This window comes from Homo sapiens, chromosome 10 (assembly GCF_000001405.40).
Source record: "Homo sapiens chromosome 10, GRCh38.p14 Primary Assembly".
Lineage (NCBI taxonomy): Eukaryota > Metazoa > Chordata > Mammalia > Primates > Hominidae > Homo > Homo sapiens.
The window spans coordinates 29364964-29375565 of record NC_000010.11 but is presented as its reverse complement, the minus strand read 5'-3'; the positions used below and the strand labels follow the sequence as shown (position 1 = coordinate 29375565).

The following is a 10602-nucleotide window of genomic DNA, read 5'->3' as shown; positions in this document are numbered from 1 at the left end:
AAAAAATTAGCCAGGCATGGGAGTGTGACCTGTAGACCCAGCTACTAGGAGGGCTGAGGTGGGAGGATCACCTGAGCCCATGGAGGCTGAGGCTGCAGTGAACTGTGATCACACCACTGCACTTTAGCCTGGGCTAAAGTGAGACTTTGTCACACACACACACACACACACACACACACACACACACACAAAGAAAAAGAAAAAGAAAAGAAAAGAAGTTTCTGGAAACAAAATTTCTTCATTTAAAGGTGGTGATGTGTTAGAGAAAAGCACTCTTCTGTACCTTGGATGGACCTGGGGGTGGGGAGGTCTGTCCCCAGGGGACAACTTGGGATGTCCTCACATCTGCCCACAGTGGCCCATTTATTTATTTTTATGTTGAATATGGGCACAGTGCCACACCCCTATTGGGCTTCTGTTTCAGCCACTGAACTTAGTTTTGGGTGGCCTTTGGGCTTGGTTCTTGTGTTGAATTATTAACCCTGATTTGACACCCCTGCCATTCATACTGTAAGGTTTGGGTTTTGTGCAAAGGGCTTGCCCGCCTCCTGAGACCACATGACTACAAGCCAGGAATGCTTCCCTGGCCACTTCTGGATAATTGTTTTCTGCTGTACTTGGATTTGCTCTTATATTTAGCTATAAAGCAAGACAGTTTCCGTCAGAAACTCTACTTTTCCACAACTCCATATAAAGGGAAAACCTCAAAAAGAAAAAAAAGGGTATTTTTGGTGAAAGTTTTCCTTTATGACAGGGTCAATTGTGAAATAACTTATATGAAGGGGACTCCGATAATTGGTTGATCAACCTGTGAAACAAAACTTTGGGTGCAAATTTTAAATTTTTAGGCTAAAAAATTATTTTTAAAGCATATACTTGAATGCTTTCACTCATACATTGGCTAACCTATGAATTTCCCTCCCACCTTACCACCCGCAACTCAAAGAGGTTTATACTTTATATATATATATATATATATATATTCTGTATTTTTTTTCCTAGGAGTTATCCCCAGTTTCCCTCACCACAGATGCAATTTCCAGAGCCAATACTTAGATATAATTTGAATGTGTCTCATTTGATTCATTTACATTTTCTAAATGAGGCCCACGTACCTTCTTCTGTCACTCTCCCAGGCTTACAGCTGCAGGCTTCTTTGGCCTCCCATGGCAGCGGCGCAGCCGAATGGATGGGGCGTGTCTCTGGAATGTGTGTCCTTGCATAGCGTTTATATCAGAAAGAGCTCCTGAGAAGATCCAAAAATGTTTTTATCTCTTACTTCCCTGACAGGTAAAGATCTCTTTTTTGTAATTATCTTTAAAAAATGTATGAATGGCTGGGCACGGTGGCTTATGCCTGTAACCCCAGCACTTTGGGAGGCCAAGGTGGGCAGACCACTTGAGGTCAGGAGTTTGAGACCAGCCTGGCCAACATGGCAAAACCCCATCTCTACTAAAAATACCAAAATTAGCCTGGTGTGGCGGGGTGCACCTGCAATCCCAGCTACTTGGGAGTCTGAGACAGGAGAATTGCTTGAACCTGGGAGGCGGAGGTTGTAGTGAGCCAAGATGGTGCCATTGCACTCCAGCCTGGGTGACAGAGTGAGACTTTGTCAAACACAAAAAAATGTATGAATGATAAAAACAGAAATACTTAGAGGGATGGGAGTTTAAAGCTCAATGTCGTTCTGGTTTTTGATAGTAAATATATATATATTTACTATATATTTGTTATATGTGCTATAATACTATACTATAATATACTATTGCATTTATTATATACAGTAAATTTTTATATATTTGCTGTATATTTACTATATATAGTAAATACATATATATGAAATACATAAAATTTATTATATATAGTAAATATACATATACACACACACACATACACACACACATACATGTATATATATATATATATATTTTAGAGACAGGGTCTTCCTCTGTCACCCAGGCTGGAGTGCAGTGGTGTAATCACGGCCCACTGCAGTCTTGACCTCCTGGGCTCAAGCCATCCTCCCACCTCAGCCTCCCTAGAACCCGGGACTACAAGTGTGCCCCACCACACCCAGCTAATTTTTTGATTTTTTATAGAGTGGGGTCTTGTTATATTGCACAGGCTGGTCTTCAACTCCTGGGCTCAAGGGATCCTCCTACCTTTGCCTCCCAAAGTGCTGGGATTACAGGTGTGAGCCACCTCACCCAGTCCCTAAATATTCATTACAGTAAGAATTAGTCAAGAGAAGAACATTGTTATGGACTAAATTGTATCCCTTCAAAAATCCATAGGTTGAAGCCCCACCCCAATGTGGCTATTTGGAGATGAGGCCTTTGGGAGATAATTGGGGTTGGATGAGGTCATGAAGGTGGAACCCTCGTGATGGGATAATGGCTTGATAAGAAGAGGAAGAGGGAGAGGTCGCTGTCCCTTTCCGCCATGTAAGCACACAGCAGGAAAGCGACTGTCTACAAGCCAGGAAGAGGGCCCTTATCAGGAACCAAATCGGCCACCACTGTGATCTGGGACTTTGCAGCCTTCAGAACTATGGAAATAAATGCCTGTTGCTTAACCCACTCAGTCTATGGTGTTTTGTTATGGCAGCCTGAGCAGACTAATGATGAAGACAAATATGATTAAGATTAAATATGATTAAAAAGAGGGTTATTAATTACTTTTTTCTGTGATTTTAAACATGTGAGATAAAAATAACATTTTGGCTTTTTGAAAAATAATGAGATTTTTTCCCCCACTGTCTTCTTTTTTTTTTTTTTTTTTTTTTTTTGAGACGGAGTCTCGCTGTCGCCCAGGCTGGAGTGCAGTGGCGCAATCTCGGCTCACTGCAGCCTCCGCCCCCTGGGGTTCACGCCATTCTCCTGCCTCAGCCTCCCGAGTAGCTGGGACTACAGGCGCCCGCCACCTCGCCCGGCTAATTTTTTGTATTTTTAGTAGAGACGGGGTTTCACCGTGTTAGCCAGGATGGTCTCGATCTCCTGACCTCGTGATCCGCCCGCCTCGGCCTCCCAAAGTGCTGGGATTACAGGCGTGAGCCACCGCGCCCGGCCCACTGTCTTCTAATGATGAGGCAAAATGTCTTGCATTTCTACTAAGTCTTAGTTTGATTCGATAGAAACCTTCCATCATACCCGTGCTAATGGCAAACTGCAGTCTATCAATAAGGCAGGGCATGTTATAAGACAGGAAATAAGTAAGTAACAGAAGGTGAGAAAAACTGCCTTTGCTCCCCACTGAATCTCTAGCACCCAGATAAAGCAGAGTAACACGGTGGAAACTCAGGAACTATTTTATGAATGAGTGGATATAATTAAAGAATGAAAGCCCAGTGCGGATGATGGAAAGAACATGGGCTTGGGAACCAGAAACATTTGGGTCAAAGTCTGGCTCTTCCATGGAATTACAGTTACCTGACCCTGGGCAATGCAAGGAATTTTGTTTAGCCTCAATTTCCTCCACAGAAGGAAGATCATAATGCCAACATTGTAAGGTTGTTGGGAAGATCCAAGACAGTAGACATAAATTGTGCTGCAAGAGCCCAGATGCATGTAATACCCTCAATACTATTACATGTCTTGTTTCAAAAGAAGGAGAGCTGAAATTGGCAGAAAAACTTTCATGGAAGGGGCAGGGTTTGAGCAGGACTTTAAAGAAATAAAGAGAAATAGCGAGATGATGTCTATTATACACCATTATACACCATTAGAGAGATAAGTCACAGAATAATATGTCCATAGTATGATCCCAGCAATAGTTTTTTTAAAAACCCTATCACTATGGGCATGCACATAAACATACCTACATTTCTGATTGCACTGGCAAACCATCAGTGATAATTTAACTGTGGCTAATGGCAAGGGGTTAAGAAAAGAAATTAAGGTTTTTCAGTTTTATCTTCAGTTTTATTTCCTATATTATATTGCATAAATCTTTTCAAATAAGCATGGCTTACTTTTGTAAAATAATGCAAAAGAACAACTTACAAGAGGAAGGAGTGGGGTTCAGCTACATGGGAATGAAGAGGGGGCTCCAGTGAGAGGCATAAATTAAAGATCTACTGCAAAATATGTTATCTTACATCAGCAAGAATGTCCCAGTACACATAAAATCAGAAATGTTTCCCTGATTCTCAATCCTGTCTTTTTTCTCCCAAAATCAGTTAAAGGGAATTTCCCAAACTTCCTTTTCTCTGGACTTGTAGTTTAAATTGGTATAAATCTTATACCCTGAGATATCTCCTTGAATTGTGAGCGTCACCTCAAATACTTTATCTACAAAACAGAAGAGGGCAAAATTGTTTGGATATGTGGTTCCTGGTATTTCTTCTTCTACCTCCTCACCCTGGCCAATGAATCACTGGGGAAGGAAGGAAGGAACAGTGTCTTCTTCCCTGGGCAACACAGGCAGGACACAGAAAGCATGACATCCTTGGTCCTGTCAAGAGACTTTCTGCAATTTCCCAAACACTAACAAGTCTTCTTTCAGAAACTCAGAGAGTGCCCTGTGTACTTTACCAGCTTTTATCTATGAATCTCAACAACATTAGCTCATTCACCCTTAAAGCTCGCAGGAGACCTGTGTAGAGCCACATAGCAATTACCCCTGGGGCTGGGGAGTGAGTTGGCATGAAAAAGGGATGGAACCCAGACCTCCTAATGGTGGGTGAAAATCTCTCCTGTTCCTCCTCCCTGCCTTCCACCCCTGTGCTGAATAGGGGGTGATGTCACATTCCACTGCATGAAGCTAAGGCTTTTATGTCCCTTTAATATGTTGGTTTTCCTTTGGGTTTCCAATCTGCCTATTCCGTGAAAATACTCCCCTGGTAACGATCTGTCATCATCAGTAATCATAACTTGTAACATCGTGTGGAAGTGAGCTGGACATCAGTCAGAGCTGTCTCCTGGCAGCTTTGGGAGCGGCAGAGCCCTGATGTGTTAGTTTTGAACCAAGAATATGCTGTAATGTGAATGTAATGCTATTTCTGGAATATATACATCTCCAGGGACCCAGGGGGTGTACAGAGGGTAGACGAGCTTATTTTATTGGAATGTCAATCTATTTCATTTTTTATCACACTTGGCATTTCTCTGAGCTAATTTCCTCCACAAAGTGGGGAACTGCTGTGACTTATGTGGACAAGGGGCTCCTAAACCTTGGCTTGCCCAGCCCACAGAACCTCTCCGGAGCCTGCCATGCCTGCCCGGGCTTAACGCGTTAGGTTTGGCATCAAAGCTGCAAACATTCGGATGACGTGGAAAGCAAATGTTTTTGCTTCTGCAGAAGAGGTGTAAATCCTTGGTCTGATCTGGTTTCACTGGGAAATGTTCTCTTGCATACGTTTTCTTTCTGGTAGCTCCCTCTTCGTAACTGAGCCAGTCATTTCATACACAGTAGTTGCATATCTACTTGCCGCAATCGAAAACAATTTCCGAAAAATAAATGGATGCATGTCAGGGGTTCCTGGGAGAGTGAGAGAGTCCAGACTTGGCAGGCTATGAAACAGAGAGATGCCCACACTCTCTTTCCTCACCATGCCCCCAATGCCCAGATCATTCCCACTTCCATGCACTATCTCAAGCCTCATCACCATCTGTAAGGCATGCCCTCATTTCCTTCATCAAAGGTGGGGAAACTGAGGCTTGTAGAAGCAAAATACCAAAGCCACAGGGCTGAAAAGAGGCTGCATCATTCTGGCTCCAGCCATGAGCTCAAATGTCCTACAGATCCGATGTGGGCACCCCTCGTTGCTCCAGCCACTCATGAGAGGAAAAGCTATCCCATTCCTAAAACACATGATTAATAATGAAGACCCTTAGCGTCTAGTACTTGCTAACCACCAACATACTCAGTGATGTGGGCTCCATAACAATCATGATATTTTTATTACAGCTAACAGTAATTGAGGGCTTACTACGTCCCAGGCACTGTTAAGTACATTGCAGGGATTACCATATTCATTTACACAGCAGCTGCATGAAGTAGATATTAGTACTAGACTCGTTTTACAGATCACAAAACTGAAGTGTAGATTTGTTAAAGCACTTTCCCAAGGTCAAGGGTAGCACACAGCAGCCAGGCATAACTTCTCCCTCTTTTCGCTCATCTCTTGGTGGAAGAGTTTTGCTAGATAATTTCTTACAATGTCCTCTGACTTTTTCGAATATTCTGACTTGTTATCCTTGGCTTTGTTAATATTGATCTGGTTATTTTTTTTTTTTACTCCCTCTAATTAATCATATGTCTTTTCATATTGTTTGTGTTGAGGGAAACATGTTGTAAGATCACTGAGGCCAGGGTGTGTCACTAACCTGGCACGCTATCTGAAGCAGAATACAGATAATATTAACTGTGAATTAGAAATGGAAAGTGGTAGGTAGATACGAACATCAAGGGAAATAAAAATGGCTAAGAGTTTTAAGCTTATCTCTAGTATTTCTTTCTTTTAATGAAAGCTGCTAATAAATATTCCCAATTGACAGGATTGAGTTTTTTTTTTTTTTTCTTGCTTGCCATCTGGGGAAAGGATACACATAAAAAGTGAAATGGCAAAAGAAGATAGACCAGGAGAGGAACAGAATATGAAATAAGAACAAGGAACAGGGGGCAGTGGTTCATGCCTGTAATCCTAGCACTTTGGAAGGTGGAGGCGGGTGGATCACCTGAGGTCAGGAGTTCGACATCAGCCTGGCCAACCTGGTGAAATCCCATCTCCACTAAAAATACAAAAATTAGCTGGGCGTGGTGGCACATGCCTGTAATCCCAGCTACTTGGGAGGCTGAGGCAGGTGAATCGCCTGAACCCAGGAGGTGGAGGTTGCAGTGAGCCGAGATTGCGCCACTGCCCTCCAGCCTGGGCAACAGAGCGAGACTCTGTCTCAAAAGCAAAGCAAAACAAAACAAAAAACAAAAAGAACAAGGATGTGACATTTGCAGAAAACGTTCTGCTGCTTACAGTTATATATATTTTTAGAAATTTCTTTCTTTTGGGGAGAGGGAAATGTGTATGGAGAAAGGTTTAAAAGAGATATTAAATGAAAAGGCACCGAATTGAATCAAGAAGGTACAAAGAGTTAAGCCACGAGGATCATGGGGACAGGATCCTCGTGTATGGGGTGTTCTGAGATTCACACCTTTCCTAAGGGTACGGCTGGGCCCTGCAGTGGCTGCGGTGGCTGTCAACTTCAATGTGCACTGTTCCCTCCTATGAAGCCATATCTGGTGATAACATCAATGTGCCAGACTTCTCTACTTATATCACTTGTTTGATGAGTTTCCATTTTTCTCCACTCTTGTCTGTAAATGCTTGACCTGTTGGAAGAAAAAAAAGATGCAAGCTTTATTTTCTGTGTATATGCAAACCTGCCCTCATAAACAGTTTTCAACCACAGTCAACGAAGCATCTGAATCAAGCTGATTTTCAATTACATGCACCAATTTGTTCCTGTGCTTTACTTTTTGTCTTATATGTACATCTCTAAGACTTCGTGAAATTTTTTGAAGTCCAGGGTTATACTGTATCAAGAACTTTTAAAATTAAGAATGCATTATTTCACTGATTTTCACAATCCCCTTCGGTGATGATATCCTTGGAATATTTCACTGAATTTCTAATTTCAAAGTGATTGTAACAGGAGCTGGAGGAGAGAAGCAGAACATAGTGAAACCATTCATGGAATGTAATTTCTATTCCACTCATGTTAGGGAAGCCGAAGTCTAGGAGAGCCACGGTAACGCCATTTTAGGTTCAGCTCTGTCTTGAGACCAACAGGTAACCACATTCATTGTTACCCACTACCCATAGTCTTAAGATGCTTACGGTTAAAAGGAAACAGCTTAAACATACGTACAAGGACACACTTCTGCAACAGTAGTGTGTCCGGAATTGGTGGGTTCTTGGTCTCACTGACTTGAAGAATGAAGCCGCAGACCCTCACAGTGAGTGTTACAGCTCTTAAGGTGGCGCGTCTGGAGTCTGTCCCTTCTGATGTTCAGATGTGTTGGGAGTTTCTTCCTTCTGGTGGGTTCGTGGTCTCTCTGGCTCAGGAGTGAAGCTGCAGACCTTCGCGGTGAGTGTTACACCTCTTAAGGTAGCGCGTCTGGCGTTGTTCGTTCCTCCTGGTGGGCTCGGGGTCTTGCTGGGCTCAGGAGTGAAGCTGCAGATCTTCGTGGTGAGTGTTACAGCTCATAAAAGCAGCGTGGACCCAAAGAGTGAGCAGTAGCAAGATTCATTGCAAAGAGCGAAAAAACAAAGCTTCCACAGTGTGGAAGGGGACCCCAGCGGGTTGCCAATGCTGGCTCAGGCAGCCTGCTTTTCTTCTCTTATCTGGCCCCACCCACATCCTGCTGATTGGTAGAGCCCAGTGGTCTGTTTTGACAGGGCGCTGATTGGTGCATTTACAATCCCTGAGCTAGATACAAATGTTCTCCACGTCCCCATCAGATTAGTTAGATACGGAGTTTCGACACACACGTTCTCCAAGGCCCCACCAGAGCAGCTAGATACAGAGTGTCGATTGGTGCATTCACAAACCTTGAGCTAAACACAGGGTGCTGATTGGTGTGTTTACAAACCTTGAGCTAGATACAGAGTGCTGATTGGTGTATTTACAATCCCTGAGCTAGACATAAAGGTTCTCCAAGGCCCCACTAGAGCAGCTAGATGCAGAGTGTCGATTGGTGCATTCACAAACCTTGAGCTAAACACAGGGTGCTGATTGCTGTGTTTACAAACCTTGAGCTAGATACAGAGTGCCCACCGGTGTATTTACAATCCCTGAGCTAGACACAAAGGCTCTCCAAGGCCCCACCAGAGCAGCTAGATACAGAGTGTCGATTGGTGCACTCACAAACCTTGAGCTAAACACAGGGTGCTGATTGGTGTATTTACAATCCCTGAGCTAGACATAAAGGCTCTCCACGTCCCCACCAGCGGATCCCACACCAGGGCTGCAGGTGGAGCTGCCTGCCAGGCCTGCGCCGTGCGCTCGCATTCCTCAGCCCTTGGGTGGTCGATGGGACTGGGCGCTGTGGAGTAGGGGGTGGTGCTTGTTGGGGAGGCTCCGGCGGCACAGGAGCCCATGGAGTGGGTGGGAGGCTCAGGCATGGCGGGCTGCAGGTCCCCAGCCCTGCCCCGCGGGAAGGCAGCTAAGGCCCGGGCAGAAATCGAGCGCAGCACCGGTGGGCTGGCACTGCTGGGGGACCCAGTACACCCTCCGCAGCCACTGGCCCAGGTGCTAAGTCCCTCATTTCCCGGGGCCAGCAGGGCTGGCCGGCTGCTCCGAGTGCACGCCCACCCGGAACTCCAGCTGGCCCGCAAGCGCGGCACGCAGCCCCGGTTCCCGCTCGCGCCTCTCCCTCCACACCTCCCTGCAAGCTGAGGGAGTGGGCTCCAGCCTTGGCCAGCCCAGAAAGGGGCTCCCACAGTGCAGCGGCGGGCCGAAGGGCTCCTCAAGTGCCACCAAAGTGGGAGCCCAGGCAGAGGAGGCGCAGAGAGTGAGAGAGGGCTGTGAGGACTGCCAGCACGTTGTCACCTCTCAGTAGAAAGTCCAGATGTCCCAATACTAATAACAATATGTTTTCAAGATTAATTACTTGATGCTTTAGAGTACACACACACTAAAATGTCAAAGTTTTCTTTAAATCAACAGAATAATACACTTTGTCATGCTGTCTACCTACCTACACATAGATACAGCTTAGCTTAGCTTCTACATAGTCAAAACCCCTAGATAAGAAAAAAGATGAGGTGCGCCTCCGCTTGCCTTCTGAGGATGCCCTACTCTGCATCACAGTAGCTTTCAATAAACGATCTCTTTTCACTGCTCTCTGTGACTCTCCTCGAATTCCTTCCTACACGAGATCCAAGAACACTTTCTAGGGGCAGACCCAAGAAAGACCCCTTTTTTCGAGGAAATGGTCATGTGTCACTTAAAGGAGGGGGAAATTCATCGTTAGGTGATTTTGTCATTTGCAAACACCCTACAATGTACCTACAAAAACCTAGAGGTGGCCGGGCGCGGTGGCTCACGCCTGTAATCCCAGCACTTTGGGAGGCCGAGGTGGGTGGATCACAAGGTCAGAAGATCTAGACCATCCTGGCTAACATGGTGAAACTCAGTCTTTACTAAAAATACAAAAAATTAGCAGGGCGTGGTGGCGGGCGCCTGAAGTCCCAGCTACTCGGGAGGCTGAGGCAGGAGAATGGTGTGAACCTGGGAGGCGGAGCTTGCAGTGAGCCGAGATCGCACCGCTGCACTCCAGCCTGGGCGACAGAAAGAGACTCCGTCTCAAAAAACAAAACAAAACAAAACAAAGCTAAACTAAACCCTAGAGGCACAGCCGCCTACACATTCAGGCTCTATGGTGTAGCCTATTGCTTTTAGTCTATAAACCTGCACAGCATGTACTGTACTGAATACTGCGGGCAACTGGAACACAATGGTAAGTATCTGTCTATCTAACCATATCACTTTTTCACTTCGTGAAAAAAAAAGTTATAAAAAATTTTATGCAAAAAATGTTGCATAATTTAAAAGAATAAGGCCTCCTGAGTACTACTGAAGAAACAGTTTATGTGCAAGGTGT

The 10602-nt window shown here is 44.8% G+C and overlaps 2 long non-coding RNA genes across 2 annotated transcripts, besides 4 other annotated features; one reads left to right on the top strand and one right to left on the bottom strand.

Annotated features, from left to right (window-relative positions):
• Positions 1 to 646: 646 nt before the first annotated feature.
• LOC105376473 (uncharacterized) lies at positions 647 to 2579 on the top strand. The gene is made up of 3 exons (XR_930786.3): positions 647 to 722; positions 1137 to 1290; positions 2295 to 2579. It is a non-coding gene; the product is annotated as an uncharacterized LOC105376473 (long non-coding RNA).
• Positions 1196 to 7954, bottom strand: LOC107984217 (uncharacterized). The gene is made up of 3 exons (XR_001747402.3): positions 7866 to 7954; positions 7149 to 7326; positions 1196 to 1246 (listed from the first exon to the last, which is right to left on the bottom strand). It is a non-coding gene; the product is annotated as an uncharacterized LOC107984217 (long non-coding RNA).
• Positions 7545 to 8744: an enhancer, noted in NCBI's record as "BRD4-independent group 4 enhancer chr10:29655751-29656950 (GRCh37/hg19 assembly coordinates)". NCBI's record gives its function as "activates an origin of replication core promoter dependent on BRD2, P300/CBP, MED14 and CDK7 cofactors, and independent of BRD4, by STARR-seq in HCT116 cells {active_cell/tissue: HCT116}" and the evidence as "EXISTENCE:reporter gene assay evidence [ECO:0000049][PMID:35650434]".
• Positions 7545 to 8960: a biological region, named in NCBI's record as "BRD4-independent group 4 enhancer GRCh37_chr10:29655751-29656950".
• Positions 8461 to 8960: an enhancer, noted in NCBI's record as "H3K4me1 hESC enhancer chr10:29655535-29656034 (GRCh37/hg19 assembly coordinates)". NCBI's record gives its function as "activates a minimal SCP1, AML or CMV promoter by ChIP-STARR-seq in primed H9 embryonic stem cells {active_cell/tissue: H9 hESC(primed)}" and the evidence as "EXISTENCE:reporter gene assay evidence [ECO:0000049][PMID:30033119]".
• Positions 8961 to 9462: an enhancer, noted in NCBI's record as "H3K4me1 hESC enhancer chr10:29655033-29655534 (GRCh37/hg19 assembly coordinates)". NCBI's record gives its function as "activates a minimal SCP1, AML or CMV promoter by ChIP-STARR-seq in primed H9 embryonic stem cells {active_cell/tissue: H9 hESC(primed)}" and the evidence as "EXISTENCE:reporter gene assay evidence [ECO:0000049][PMID:30033119]".